The 15,174-nt window shown below is 46.5% G+C and overlaps 1 protein-coding gene across 7 annotated transcripts in view, besides 4 other annotated features; it reads right to left on the bottom strand.

Annotated features, from left to right (window-relative positions):
- Positions 1,562-15,174, bottom strand: part of MYL4 (myosin light chain 4) — a 38,218-nt gene continuing 24,605 nt past the window's right edge. For 6 of the 7 annotated variants that reach the window (XM_047436131.1, XM_011524839.3, NM_001002841.2 and 3 more), the window contains 5 exons: positions 9,159-9,308; positions 7,357-7,530; positions 6,755-6,832; positions 6,155-6,198; positions 5,533-5,703 (listed from right to left, as the gene is read on the bottom strand). In XM_047436131.1, coding sequence (XP_047292087.1) covers positions 6,170-6,198; positions 6,755-6,832; positions 7,357-7,530; positions 9,159-9,308 — 431 coding nt within the window. In that variant the 3' untranslated portion in view covers positions 5,533-5,703; positions 6,155-6,169. Of the gene's footprint in view, positions 1,642-5,532; positions 5,704-6,154; positions 6,199-6,754; positions 6,833-7,356; positions 7,531-9,158; positions 9,309-15,174 lie in introns of those variants that run through there. The other variant, XM_024450766.2, reaches the window with a different exon arrangement.
- Positions 3,515-3,809: an enhancer, noted in NCBI's record as "tiled region #4457; K562 Activating DNase matched - State 5:Enh". NCBI's record gives its function as "activates a minimal TATA promoter and a strong SV40 promoter by Sharpr-MPRA in K562 cells {active_cell/tissue: K562}" and the evidence as "EXISTENCE:reporter gene assay evidence [ECO:0000049][PMID:27701403]".
- Positions 7,168-7,823: an enhancer, noted in NCBI's record as "H3K4me1 hESC enhancer chr17:45298755-45299410 (GRCh37/hg19 assembly coordinates)". NCBI's record gives its function as "activates a minimal SCP1, AML or CMV promoter by ChIP-STARR-seq in primed H9 embryonic stem cells {active_cell/tissue: H9 hESC(primed)}" and the evidence as "EXISTENCE:reporter gene assay evidence [ECO:0000049][PMID:30033119]".
- Positions 7,824-8,480: an enhancer, noted in NCBI's record as "NANOG-H3K4me1 hESC enhancer chr17:45298098-45298754 (GRCh37/hg19 assembly coordinates)". NCBI's record gives its function as "activates a minimal SCP1, AML or CMV promoter by ChIP-STARR-seq in primed H9 embryonic stem cells {active_cell/tissue: H9 hESC(primed)}" and the evidence as "EXISTENCE:reporter gene assay evidence [ECO:0000049][PMID:30033119]".
- Positions 10,145-10,254: a silencer, noted in NCBI's record as "silent region_8623". NCBI's record gives its function as "represses an Ori minimal core promoter by ATAC-STARR-seq in GM12878 lymphoblastoid cells {active_cell/tissue: GM12878}" and the evidence as "EXISTENCE:reporter gene assay evidence [ECO:0000049][PMID:35858748]".

Genomic DNA, 15,174 nt, shown 5'->3' with positions numbered 1-15,174 from the left:
GCCTCCCAGGTTTAAGCAATTCTCCTGCCTCAGCCTCCCAGGTAGCTGGGATTACAGGCATCTGCCACCGCGCCTGGCTAATCTCACCATGTTTGCCAGGCTGGTCTCGAACTCCTGACCTTGTGATCCGCCTGCCTCGGCCTCCCAAAATGCTGGAATTACAAGTGTAAGCCACCGCGCCCGGACTTCTTTTTTTTTTTTTTTTTAAGATGGAGTCTCACTCTGTTGTCCAGGCTGGAGTACAGTGGTGCGATCTTGGCTCACTGCAACCTCCACCTCCCGGGTTCAAGTGATTCTCCTGCCTCAGCCTCCCGAGTAGCTGGGATTACAGGCATCCAACACCACGCCCAGCTAATTTTTGTATTTTTAGTAGAAACAGCGTTTCACCATGTTGGCCAAGCTGGTCTTGAACTCCTGACCTCAGGTGATCTGTCCACATCAGCCTCCCAAAGTGCTGGGATTACAGGCATGAGCCACTGTGCCCAGCCCATGCTACCATCTTTAACTGGAGAGGGGAAACTAGAAAAATTATGAGTCGAGTTTGTTGTTATTATTCTTCCTATGTATTTTTAAATTAATAATTAAATTAATAAATGTTTTTAATTAATAAATACATAAACTCCTAAACTGCTATGACAGAATGATAGAAGTGCTTAGCACAGTGCCAGCACATAGTAGGTGCTCAGTAAGTTGATGATGCTCTTTATTATCATCTCTCTGAAATTCACCTTTGACATCAGGGGACCTCATATGATCATCATCTTAGCTCTAGTGACCGCTTTGCTCATTTTCTCTCCGCGGGGTAGTAGAGGCTCTGGCCTCTGTCAGGGGCCTGTGGCAGTGGACAGGGAGGAGACTTACAGAAGGCCCCTGAATACCCTCTCCCCCTCTGCTCCTTTCCCACCTCCCTCCTGAAGGTCACTGGCTGTTCGTTCCTCTGACAGTGGGAAGTTTCCATGAAGATACCCATCCTCTGATAACTTTCTGGGCAACTTTCTCCCCAGCATCTGTCCACAGGGAGCAGAAAGCCTGGCCTTTGGGGAACACACAGTCATACTCTCTTTCCACAGAAGCAGCTTCCCTGTGTCCCCTCATGTGTCATCATCCCTTCAGGATGGTGCCATTGCTGGCTCCAGGCCAGAGCCCCCCTTAAATCTTCCCCCGAGCTGGGACACCTTTCCCCTCCTCCTTCTGGCCCACTTACTCACACTCATCCTGCCTGAGATGCCACCTTCTCAGGCCCTCAGTCAGGAACCCCTCAGGGTGGTGGAAGGGCCCCCAGTGGGCTCAGTCCTATTTCCATAAATTATGGTTGACCCATGAACAACGTAGAGGTTGGAGGCACCAACCCACGTGCAATCAAAATGTGCATATAACTTTTGATTCCCCAAAAACTTAACTACTAATGGCCTACTGTTGACTGGAAGCCTTACGAAAAGCATAAAAATTTAACATATTTTGTATCTATATATTATAGACTGTATTCTTATAATAAAGTAAGTTGGAGAAAAAAATTAAGAAAATCATAAGGAAAAGAAAATATATTTACTAGTAAGTGGAAGTGGATAATCTTCAAGGCCTTCATCTTCCTTGTCTTCAGGTTGAGTAGGCTGAGGAGGAGGAAGGGTTGGTCTTGCGGTCCTAGGGTGGCAGAGGTGGAAGAGGAGGTGGAGGTGAAAGGAGAGGCAGGAGGGACAGGCACATTCAGTGTAAATTTTATTGAAAAGTGTCTGTATATAAATGGATCCACACAGTTCAAGCCTATGTTGTTCAAGGGTCAACTGTACATGGTCTGGATCTGGGTTCGAAATAGTGGAAGTCAGTCTAGTTGAAGAAAATCGTGAACTTTATTTAGTCACTTTTTATGCATACCTCTTCCCAGGAGGGGCAAGTGCCAAACCTTAGTTATGGGCCGGGCAAAGTACAGGGTTGGGGAAGGGATGACTAGGAGGACAAGAGTCTCTTCTGTCTTCAGATAAACAAGCCCAACACCATGGAGGCAGCAAATAAGTTGCACTGGTTCCCAAGGAGGTTTGTGAAGTAGAAAATGCTTCCCGGCTGGGCGCGGTGGCTCACACCTGTAATCCCAGCACTTTGGGAGGCCAAGGCAGGTGGATCACCTGAGGTCAGGAGTTTGAGACCAGCCTGGCCAACATGGTGAAACCCCATCTCTACTAAAAATACAAAAAATTAGCTGGGTGTGGTGGCGCGCACCTGTAATCTCAGCTACTCGGGAGGCTGAGGCAGGAGAATCGCTTGAACCTGGGAGGTGGAGGTTGCAGTGAGCTGAGATCGTGCCACTGCACTCCAGCCTGGATCACAGAGTGAGACTCCATTTCAAAAAAAAGAGAGAGAAAAGAAAATAAAATGCTTCCTGAACTATTCTCTCAGTGGAAGTGATGGCTGAGCCGGAGCAGCATCTTAGACCATGTGTAGAGGTCACACACTGAGACACCATACGATAAAAGAACTTGGGTCCCTGAGGACTGTGGAGCATGCCGGCTGTGCCAGCCAGGGACTGCCAATCTCTGGATTGTAATGGGAGGAAGAAACGCACTTCCATGTCTCTTAAGCCACTGTGTTTTGGTGTCCATACGCACAGCCAAATATAATCTTAATTAATACTGTGTTCAATAAATGTTGGCTGATGTTGTCACATGATTATAACTAATGTCTGTCTTCCCACTAGACTGAAAGCTCCTTGAGGACAGGGGCCATGTCTGTGTGGTTCAGTATATCCCCAAGGCTCATGCCAGTGCCATGTGCACAGCAGGTACCCAATGGGCATCTGTTGAATTAGTAAGTGAGCTATGACCTCTGTTCATGCTCTTCTTCTCCCTGGGGCTAAGCACCAACCTTGGGGCACCTTTTCCTTTAAGGTCTCACTGAAAGCCCTTCTCCCAGAGAAAATATTTGTAATGCCTCACTTCTTTCTGGTTCCTCCTTGTATTGGTTCCTTAAAACTTACACTGTATGTTACATAGATGGAGTTATCCCTATGCTATTTGGGGATCATTCTCTATTTATCCCTGGATACTTATGTGCTTGCTTAAGTGGACAGTAAGCTACTTTGGGCAAGGAAAACACTTTCAGTTTTCAAATCACTGGGAACCTTAACTCCAGTTCCTCACAAGTGAATACAGTGAGCAATAAATACTTGCTGAAGAAAGAAAGAAGAGAGGGAGGAGGGTGAGGATCAAAAAACTACCTATCAGGTACTATGTATATTACCTGGGTGGTGAAATAATCTGTACACCAAACCCCTGAGACATGCAATTTACCTATGTAACAAACCTGCACATGTGCCCCTGAACCTAAAATAAATGTTAAAAAACCAAAAAAAAAAAAAAAAAAAAGAAGGGAAGGAGGAAAACCTGACGAGGCCCCAGTGCTAAGGAGAATGTTGGCATTTCAAACTGGGGGTGTGATTTAAAGAAAAGGAGCAGAAAGTGAGGCCAAAAAGAGCAGTCTGCGAGGTAGGGACAAGGAAAAGAGTCCTAAGAGCCAAGCTTGGAAAACATTTCAAAGGCAGGTTGAAAATGGTGTGTTGAAAATTGAAACAATGTAGAATTCAGGGGACCTTGTCAACATTAGCTGTGACCTTGATTAAGTCACTTCCCATTTAAGGATCTGTTTTCCTGATTTTGACTCTTAGGAAGTCTGACTAATCGGTGAACTGGCTCTGCTCCAAGGAGCCTAGTTAGAGGCTCCAAGAAGCCTGAACCCAGCCCTCTCCTCCTCAGCCAGAGAAACTCTGTTCTCTTCAGTTTCATGCACTGACTTCCCCATAAAATTTAGTTCGAACAAAAGGCTATGGGTCTAAACCAAAGTTTGAGAACCACTGGATTCAATGAACCCCTGCTCAACCGTATAAAGATCCCTGGTTTTGTGTTTCAACCAGTCACTCACAAAGCTGAAACCCTTCCTCAAAGAAAATCTGGGAAACAAAGGGCATGTATATAGACCTTGGCCTTGTCTCCCCAGCCAGACTGTAAATTCTAAGAAAAGCAAACTTGGGCTCATGGTTCTCAGCTTCCCATGACAGGCAGGCAGCCTTGGCTGAATTCTTAGATGTTTCACAGAGTTCTGTGGCTGGATGATTGATAGTTAGGCAACAGAAAGGCCATGGGAAGGATTTATTTCACCTTGGGGAGTCCTCAGGGATGTAAGGACTCCCTTTCTGGGATGACTGGACCCCTGTGCTCCCATATAAATATTTCTACTCATATACATGTGTGTTTAACTTCCTCACATCATCTTGCTCCTTCTTCCCAATTGCTGGTTTTCAGGCGTCTCTTTTCCACGTGCCTCTCCCCACTCTCCTCCTCTCTCAGCCTGAGGTTCCTGACCTCTGACCCTGACTCTTTCCAGGGCACTGAGCTGGAATCCTGGGTCTGGAGTCAATGAGATGTCCAGAACAGGCAGGACTGAACCAGGTACCAGGAGCTTTGCACTCAGAGGAAGAGGCACCTAAAAAAGCGAGGACCAAACCAAACCGTGGTTGACCTATACAATGGGACATGATTCCGCCTTAAAAAAGGAACACGAGGACATTGTGCTAAGTGAAATAAGCCGGTCACAAAAGACAAACACTGTCTGATTTCACTTATCCAGGGTGGTCAAATTCATAGAAATGGAAAGTAGAATGCTGATTGCCAGGGGCTGGGGGAAGGAGGGAATGGGGAGTTATTTATTGAGTACAGTGTTTCTGCTGGTGGAAATGAAAAGGTTCTGGAGATTCATTACTGATATGGTTTGGCTGTGTCCCCACTCAAATCTCATCTTGAATTCCCATGTGTTGTGGGAGGGACCCAGTAGGAGGTAACTTTCCCATGCTGTTCTCATGATAGTGAATAAGTCTCACAAGATCTGATGGTTTTTAAAAGGGGAATTTCCCTGCACAAGCTCTCTTTGCCTGCCGCCATCCATGTAAGATGTGCCTTTGCTCCTCCTTGCCTTCCGCCATGATTGTGAGGCCTCCCCAGCCATGTGGAACTGTAAATCCATTAAACCTCTTTTTCTTCCCAGTTTCAGGTATGTCTTTATCAGTAGCATGAAAAGAGACTAATACAGTTACACAACAATGTGAATATACCTCACTCTACTGACTTGTATGCTTAAAAATGGTTAAGATGGTAAATTTCATGTTATGTGTATTTTACAACAATTTTTGTTTAAAAGCAGCAAGAGCAAGGACCAAAGGAGGAGTCCCTGCCTCAGCCTGGCCCCTCTCTGCCTGCCATCTGGAGGTGTGATTAGGTAGAGGGTGAGCCCAAAGGGAATAAAACTCCTCCAGGTGACAACTCCTCAAGCTGCTGGCCTTCCAGAGCTTGCTCTCCTGGGTCTGACCCCAATATCTCTAGATCCACAGGCTTTTGTCCTTGTCTCCTAGCTCCCAGATACTACTCATTTCTCTGAGCACACATGAGGCCTCAGGTGACTTTATCTCTCTCTCTCTCACACACACACACACAACGCAAACCAATGCAATTCGTTAATTAGTTTTAAAAAAACAAACAAAACAGAGACTGGTCAGAATCCCAGAGCCCAGCCTGGCCGTGTTAGAGCTGTTTATTAACAGGGAGGGCCTGTAAGGTCCTTGGGGCAGTGGTGTGGTGATAAGTCGAGGACTCCATCTCAGCTCACCCAGCCGGGGCCTCTCTTTAACTCACCCTGGTATGGCTAAAGCCAAGGGCCAGGCACCTGAAAGAAAGTGCTAGGAGGAAAGGGCATTTCACCCTCCTAGACCCAGCCCCTTACCACACCCAGGGGGATCCCAGGGAAAACCTAGGGAAAGAAGTGAGGAAGAACGGGGTCAAGAGCACAGGCCAGGGACCTTCTCTTCCACTTGGGATCGGCTTTCTCACTCCCAGGAGCCTGTACAGGAGGCCCCAGGCCTGAGGGAAGGGCATTGCCTTGAGAGATCCTGGGAGAGGCAAGAGGATGTGACTGATAGGGTCAAGACAGGGTGAACAGGCAAGGGCAGGCAGGAGACAGGAGATGGTGAGTGAGCAGGGCTGTCCTCACTTCCTGATCCCAAGAGGTTTCCTCTTAAGGGGTCAGGGCTGGGACAGATGCCTTCTAGGGCACATGGTGTTATTCTTAAGGCCCTATGTGACCCCGGAAGGGACCAGGAGGGAGAGGCTGCACTCACCTGGAAGACTCTGCTTCACCCTGACATGATGTGCTTGACAAAGGCTAGGAAAAAAGTGAAAATCAGCCACCATGTGGCTCAGCGCCTCTAGGCCCATAAACCACTTGTCCCTTCTCTACACTGCCTGACTTCTAACCCTCCTGCTCCCCTTTCTCCAGACTGTGTAGTTCCTGCTCTTATTTGGGGGTTGGTGGGGAGAAGGTGGGTGGAGGGCAGATACCTAGACTCTGCTCTGTGCCCACTCTCTATGCTGATTCTCAACACAAATGGAATGAACTACATTATCTCTATGAATCCCCACAGCCTTGAGAAAGGTGCCAGCATCACCCCCATCCCTCAGATGAGAAAACTGAGGCTCAGAGAAAATCAGTGACTTAATCAAGCCCACCAGCTAATATATCACAGAGCTATCTCCAAAATCCATGCTCCCGCCATTACACTAGGAGGTTCACTCACAAGATGGAACAGAACAACATCCAATGGGGGGTCTACAAAAACCCACCTCAGACACATACCCTCCAGCTCCTGGGCCCACCCCACCCAAGCTGTTCCCATCCTACCATCCCTGGCTGCCCTGGGATGCAAGGCGCGGCTTAATACCTTCATAATTGATGCAGCCATTGGCATCCTCTTGCCCAGCTAACAGCTGCTCCACTTCAGCCTCAGTCATCTTCTCTCCTGCGGTGGGTTTGGGAGGTGGTGCGCTCTTAATTACAGATGGCAAAGGAGGAACTGGCAATACCCAAGTACCCCCTTAAGTGTGAAGGTCCAAGACTGCCTGGATCTGGGAGGTGGTTCAAACCAAGCCTCTCCCAGAGGTTCTGAAGGGTGCGGCCAAGGGTCTAAAGGTCTTGCCTAGTCTCCGAAGCCTCCCCCTCTGCCTTACAGCTTCCAGAGCCTCAGTGTTTCAGGCAAAGACAAGGACAGAAGCCCTGAGTCCCACCTCTCAGGCCTCAGTAGTAAGCCCTGCTCTGCCAACCTGCTCTCCCCTCCTCTCCCAAACCCTGGTACCTGCTGAGCAAACCCAACTGGGAATGGTTGTTCTTGCAGAGCCCAGGGAGACAGGGCCTGGATCAGGTCATTATCCTCAGGATGCAAAGACCCTTGTATACCACCCCCCACCCAACCAGCATATGTCACCTTGGCACCTCCCACCCCTCCATTCCTCCCACTTGGTCTTCATCTCTGCCCAGCTGGCATACCCAGGGTGGCAAGGACGTGCCGAAGCTCAGCACCCATGACCGTGCCATTGCTCTCCTTGTCAAAGACACGCAGGCCCTCCACGAAGTCCTCATAGGTGCCCTGCTCCTTGTTGCGGGAAATGTGCTGCAGGATGGGCAAGAACGTCTCAAAGTCCAGCATCTTGACATTCATCTCTTCAGGCAGGCAGGGTAAAGAAAGAGAAATCAATGTGAGCAGGTGCTCAAGGGAGCAGAGGGTCAAGAGGGGGCCTCACCCCAAGTCTGACAGCACCCAGGGCTTGGGCTGCAGCCAATTCTGGGTGGTACACCCATTAGTGCTCCTAGAGGACACAGAGCTTCCCATCCAAGCAAGGTAGGGGACTGGGAGCTGGGGAGATGGTCTCAGGGGCCCTCTTTTCTCAGTGAAAGCAGTAGGATGGAAGGAAAAAGGAGCCCTCCACCCAGACCTCTAAGCACCAGGTGGCCAGCCAAGCGGAGGAGCTGAGGGTGGCAGCAGCAGGATGTGAGGGGTCTGAAGTGCCACGCGGCCCGGGCCTCACACTCAGTTTAGACCCTTGACGTGACAGACCTATAATCACAGGGGCAAACCAACAGGATTGAAAAAAGCAACGTTTGCATCACTCTGCATGGGGTCCCATCACTAGACCACACAGCTTGAAGCTACTCTGAATCAATAATTCTTATAAATTCACAGTTCTCTTGTGAATAGCATACTTCTCCCACATGGTAGTGTATTTAAAAGGCTTTAATTTAATAGAGGCAAACTATTTTTAAATATCACAAATGTGGGCATTTCTTTCTTTTATAAGCACACAGGACTTGCTTCTGACTTCTGAGATGCAAGCCCCTAGCCCTCTGGTCCTTTCCTGCCCACATCCTTCACCCCCGCGGTTACCTTCAGCCAGAGGAGAAGGGGGACGGGCCAGAACCAAGGGATGGGGAGGAAACCACTATGGGGCCCAGGAAGCCTCCAGAGACAGACCACCCTTGCTGAGAGGCTCACCCCACCCCAAACCCCGTGCCAACACCACTGAGGAGAAGCATGTGTGTGTGTTTTAGAGCAGCTGTTAACTTGACTGGCACACATGACAGACAACATTCACAAACAGGACACACTCCCTCACACCTCTTCTCATCTGCCGTAATGATTGACAGAGGCACAGCTCACATGAGTATGAACACTCAATGATCACACTTAGGAGCCACAAAAGAATCGTTTGCACCACTTTCTAAACACTTACTCACCATTCTAAACACTCACTCACCAAAACCTATTGAAATGCAAATGAATGAAAGAGGCAGCACGTAGAGCTAAGAATCTTGAAGCTGCTCTAATTTATACCAAACAATTTGCAAACGTCAGTACTCTAACCATTATTAGAAACAAATTGTTTGTAATACAGCTCGCGATGGCCACCACAGGATACCTCGGTGCTGTGACAGATGCCCCTCCTGAGAGCTCCTGGGCTGGGGAGTGGGAACCATCAGTTATCAGATTTCCAGATTCCCACTCAGCCTTCCTCAGACACTGAGGCAACAGAATGTGGCTCATGCCCCACAGGAGCTCCCAACCTCGTGAGGGAAACAAGCCCAGGCTACATTCCTCAAGGGTCACTTAAGTACGGGGACGTCTAGATAAATTCTCAAAATGGGACTAGGGTAAGCTGGGTAGGTGAGGCTGGTCCTGAGGGGCTAAAGCAGGAGAAGAGAGAGTGCAGATGGCAGAGAAGATCTGGACAAGGAGGAAGCCAAGGGGCTGCAAGCCTGACCCTGGGAGAGGTCTGCCATGCAGCCGCACTGACCTTCAGGCTTGGGCTTGCCCAGCACACGCAGCACCTCGGCATTGGTAGGGTTCTGGCCCAGGGCCCGCAGTACATCCCCGCACTGGCCGTAGGTGATCTTCATCTCTCCAGTCGGGGTCCGGTCAAACAATGAAAAGGCCTCTTTGAACTCTGTGGAGAGAAGACCCAGCTATACCTTCCAATCCCCAGTGAAGGTGGTGGCTGGTGGCCAATCAGCCTCCACCCAAGCTGAATAGCAGGTGAGTGTGGTTGTTAAAATATCCCAATATTTCGCTTTGTCCATTATCCCAGGCCGTCCCTCGAACCCGTCCTCATCCCATCTTCTGTCAACCAAAGAAGCAGCCTGGTGCCTCCACGACCCATTCCAGGGCTGGGACTGGGATCTCTTCTATTGCTTCGTTGTTATAAAATTCCAGTGTTGGGAGGCTGCGGCCCGAGAATCGCTTGAGCTCGGGAGGCAGAGGTTGCAGTCAGCCAAGATCGCACCACTGCACTCCAGCCTGGGTGACAGAGTGAAACTCCATCTTGAAACAAAAAAAAAATTCAGATGTCTCCCTGGCCTCCACCCCTCCCACCCACACATCCCGCTCTGGTGTAGGTGAGGTTCCTGACTCCTGAAATGACAGACAAGTGAAAACAGCACTGGCCCAGAAGTGAGGATTCCTAAATTCTCATCTTGGCTCTGCCTCAGAGTGCAGGATAAGCTGGGCTGGGTCTCAGCTTCATGTGCACACAAAGGGAGTGACAACTACACCCCACTCCCTGGGCCTGTCACTGTGAGAGCAAAGGGAGGTCGCAGTGTGTGGAAGCACTTTACAAAGTGATAAGACCGCTGGAAAGTCAGCTGTTATCAGTACTGCCTGTTCCAGGCTGAAAGGCGGCCCCCAGGCCAGATAAGGCAATGGTCAGACCACCCCAGCTCTGCCATGGACTCGCATACAGCCTTGGGCAAACTATTAACCCCTGTGGGCCCTCATTTTCCTAGCTCTAAGTGGAGATACAATGATCACTTGAGTGGGTTGCAGGTGGGATCACAAAGCACGCCAAGCAATGTTCAGCATATGGTAAGGGAATCGACAAATTGTGGTTACAGCTGTTTCCTAGTTCTCTTTCCTACTTACCAGCTCAGAACCACAGGGACTGGACTCCTTGAAGGCAGCAGGGCAAGTATCCCTGCAGCAAGACCAAAGGAAGGCACTCCTGGTCCCTTTTTCAAAGAACCTTAACTCTTCATTGATTTGTTTTGGTTTTGTTTTTGTTTTTGTTTGAGACAGAGTCTCGCTCTGTCACCCAGGCTGGAGTACAGTGGTGTGATCTCAGTTCACTGCAACCTCCGCCTCCCAGATTCAAGCAATTCCTGTGCCTCAGCCTCCGAGTAGCTGGGACTACAGGCGCCCACCACCACGACACCTGGCTAATTTTTGTATTTTAGCAGAGACAGGGTTTCACCATGTTGGCCAGGCTGGTCTCAAATTCCTGGCCTCAAGTGATCCATCTGCCTTGGCCTCCCTAGTGCTGGGATGACAGGTGTGAGCCATCATACCCGGGCCCAATTCTTCATTGATTGGGATTCAACCAATTCATTAGTGGAGGTAATTTGGCCTGGGAGGGGCATTTAAGTTACCTTATGCTACCCACAAAGAAGTGCTTTACTAAGCAGATGAACAGTATAAGCCAAAAAAGAATTCATGAACTACTTAGGAAAAAAAGCCAGTTTTCATCCTTTCCAAGTACTTCTTTCCTTCGAGGCTGCGTATGGATTATTTACAAATCATTCCACATATCACAGAAGATTCCCCAGACCTTTACTTCCAACTCTTTCTTCGGCTTTATATGAATTTAAAAGACATAAAACCACATTTCTTTCACATTACTGAATAATCGAGTTCAAATTTCATTCCCATTGCTTGACTTTGGACAAATAAATATTTAACCTCTAAAAACCTCTTCTATAAATGGTACCTACATCATAGGTTTCTTTTTAGTTAGTTTTTTGTTTTTTTTTTTTTTTTGAGATGGAGTTTCACTCTTGTTGCCCAGGCTGGAGTGCAATGTCGCGATTTCGGCTCACTGCAACCTCCGCCTCCCGGTTCAAGCGATTCTCCTGCCTCAGCCTCCTGAGTAGCTAGGATTACAGGCATTACAGGCATGCGCCACCACGCCAGGCTAATTATGTATTTTTAGTAGAGACGGGGTTTCTCCATGTTGGTCAGGCTGGTCTCGAACTCCCAACCTCAGGTGATCAGCCCACGTCGGCCTCCCAAAGTGCTGGGATTACAGGTGTGAGTCACTCCACCCAGCTATCATAGGTTTCTTAAATTACATTCAAATTAATATAATAATGTATGTAAATATACTAGGTATATAAATACAATAATGTATGTAAAAATTTTTAACACAATGACCAGCACATAGTAAATGCATAAACAATGCTGCTAGTATTATCTTATTGAGTTTAATCCTAATTTGGATCACTTAACCATGTGATCTTGGCCAAATCATTTAACTTTGCTGAACTTTGGTTTCCTGCTTTGTAAAAAGGAAATAACACCTACCTCATAGCCTTGTTATAAGGATGTAATCTTTTTTTTTTTTGGAGACAAAGTCTTGCTCTGTCACCTGGGCTGGAGTACAGTGGCACAATCTCAGCTCACTGCAACCTCCACCTCCCAGGTTCAAGCAATTCTCCTGCCTCAGCCTCTCGAGTAGCTGGGATTACAGGTGCGTGCCACCACCCCCAGCTAATTTTTTATACTCTTGGTAGAGGTGGGGTTTCACCACGTTGGCCAGGCTGGTCTCCAACTCATGACCTCAAGTGATCCACCTGCCTCAGCCTCCCAAAGTGCTGAGATTACAGGTATGAGCCACCGCACCCAGGCAGGATTTATCTTTTTTACCTTTAAAACAATTAGCATGGTGTCTGGCACAAATTCAGTGCTTGATAAATACATATTTGTTAGTTGAATCTGAAGTCAGACTTTTTGATCTCCTAGTTCATTCAGAAGAGTGAGGTCAAGTTTAACAAAAGAGGAAGTCTCCTCAAAAGAAGATGTAATGATGTGCCAGGCACAGTGGCTCACGCCTGTAATCCCAGTACTTTGGGAGGCCAAGGCGGGCAGATCACCTGAGGTTGGGAGTTTGAGACCAGCCTGACCAACATGGAGAAACCCCATCTATATAAAAAATACAAAATTATCTGAGCGTGGTGATGCATGCCTGCAATCCCAGCTACTCAGGAGGCTGAGGCAGGAGAATTGCTTGAACCCGGGAGGCGGAGGTTGCGGTGAGCAGAGATCACACCATTGCACTCCAGCCTGGGCAACAAGCGCAAAACTCTGTCTCAAAAAAAAAAAAGAAAGAAAAAGAAAAAAAAGATGTCATGATGCTTAATAAGAGGGTGAAACCTGAAGAGGAAGGTAATAAGAACAATGACCTATAATTTGAGCACTTACCATGAACCAGGATCTGAGCAAATAATTTTGCATAGAACACTTTATTAATCTTTATGAAAAAATATATGCTATAGGTATTATTATCCTCATGTAAAAGCCAATGTAGATATGACTTATGATCAACTATTAAGCAAACCAAGGAAATGATGGGGAGGAAGGAGGAAGAGAAGGAGACCTGCTTGTTATAACTGCTAATGCTCCAACCAATCACCTGGCCTGCTGGGAAGCCTGGTATGCACATAAAAAAATCAAACACTGAAGTTTAGGACTACAACTAGAAAAAAAAAAAAAAAAGCCAGTGTGAACTTCAGGTATTAGAGGTGATGTTCAAGGGTCCAGAAGAGACCTTTCCTCAATAATCTGCAGTAGTGTGGTCACCTGCTTACTAGAGCAATGAGTCCAGTGGTAGTAACCCCTCTCTAAAAGAATACAGAAGTCTGGAGAGGGATGAGAAGCAAGCCAAGGGTTAGAAGCTAATTCCTATGAGGGGGAAAAAAAAAAAAAGCACAAAAGAAATTGGGAGGCCAGGCACAGTGACTTAATGCCTATAATCCCAGCACTGTGGGAGGCCAAGGTGGGAGGATTGCTTGAGGCCAGGAGTTGGAGTCCAGTCTGGGCAAAATAGCGAGACCCCCATCTCTACAAAACATAAAAACAATGGTACATGCCTGTAGTACAAGCTACTCAGGAGACTGAGGTGAAAGGATTGCTTAAAACCAGGAATTCAAGGTTATCGTGAGCTATGATAGCACCATTGCACTCCAGCCTAGGTGAGAGAGCAAGACCTTGTCTCAAGATAAAATAAAATGATAAAATAAAATAAAATAAATTGAGGCATATCACCTAGAGAATATAAATCTTAGGAGGGATTTGAAAACTATCTCCAAATAGATGGAGGATATCTAGAGGATGCTGAATGGACTAGAATTTCTGAATTGAAACCCAAATACCCTCACTTTGTGGATAAGAAAATTAAGATTTAAAGAAGTGACTTGTCCGAAGTCTCATGGCCAATAATGGAAGAATTAGGGCTAATACGAAAGTCTCCTAATTCCAAATTATGTTCTTTCCACCATAACCAAGATGACAATGAGAAAACCATTATAATCTTCACCAAAAAACAAATGAAAAGATCGCTGGGGTAAAATTAAAGGAAAAACAATTCTGATTCAACAGAAGGAAAAATGTCTTCAAAGTCAGAGGGATAAAAGATCAGAATGAGTTGTCCCCTCCCCATCAGCCCTGAAAGTCTTCAGGAGAGAAGAGATAACCATCTGTTCCAGTTGGCCATTTGGGAAATTAAAATTTTAAATCATTAGTTGATTTTCCAGTCCTCACTAGTGTCATTGTGTTTCTATATCCACGTAAGTATATATTTAACTAAAATGCATTGAAATTAATGCTGCAAGTGAGTATCCACTGAGTATTATGAAAACAGAGTCAGGCTCAATTCACTAGTTTCAAAATGCATATGCCAGCTCTCATGCTCCATTTGTGGGTAAACTGGTGTCACTTTTTTGGAGAGCAACCTGGTAATAACCATTATAATTTAAAATGCACCATCCTTTAAACCCTGCTAGGAAGGCCACAGGCGAAAGAAAGCTGATATCCTCCCACCGGAAACAATCTGAAAGCCTATCAATATAGTCTTGATTAAATTAAAAGGGTACATCTGTGTGTGAGAGTCTATATAATTGTTTAAAAGAATGAGGTAGAACTGTTTGTGTTAATTTTGAAAAGATATCCAAATACTGTATATTATTAAATCCAAGTATATATTTAATAAAAGGTGGACAGTGTGTATCACACGGCTTGATTTGTATAAACTGTATACACTCATACATACACACAAACTTGTGTATCATTATATATTTTTCTGAAAGGATACATAAACACCTGTTCACAGTGGTTGTCTTTGGGAGAGGAATCAGCATGGAAAAAAAGGATTTTTATTTTTTATTATTTACTTTTAAGTAATATGTGTGTGCTTTTTTGCTTTTTTGTTTTACCATGTGCAAATATTCATTTAAGTTTTAAAAGAGAGTATGTGCTTAAAATGAGGGGGTTGGATTAGGTGATTTTTCAAGGTCCCTTCCAATTCCTATAATTTTATGTCCTAGAGGCGTTTGGTGGAGGAAACAGAGGGATACGCTGCAATGACATTGAGTCCTGCTTTACAGCTGGGGACACAGAGCATCACATGATAAAACATTTCATTGGCCCTGCCACCATTAGTGGGTTAGCATATTGGCAGACTTCATGGTGGGAAGAGGGGAAGCTGGTAAACTAAGGAGGGCTTTCCAATAATGGGAACAGAAATGAGGGCTTCCAAATATCTTAGATAGATCTTTGGGGCCAAGAAAAAAAGGCACTAACTTTTGTTAAGCATCTACTATGCTCCAAGCAGTCTGGCAGAGTAGTTGAGGAAACAGATCTGGAATCAGATTGCCTGAGTTTGAATCTTAGCTCTACTGCTGACTGCCATGTGAGACTGGGCAAGTCACCCAATCTCTATGTGTCTCAGTTTATCACTTGTAAAATGGGGGAGGTAACAATTTCTACCT

The sequence above is a fragment of the Homo sapiens genome, chromosome 17, assembly GCF_000001405.40.
Source record: "Homo sapiens chromosome 17, GRCh38.p14 Primary Assembly".
Classification (NCBI taxonomy): domain Eukaryota; kingdom Metazoa; phylum Chordata; class Mammalia; order Primates; family Hominidae; genus Homo; species Homo sapiens.
Note: the sequence above shows the minus strand (reverse complement) of the source record. Positions and strands in the feature narration are given on the sequence as shown.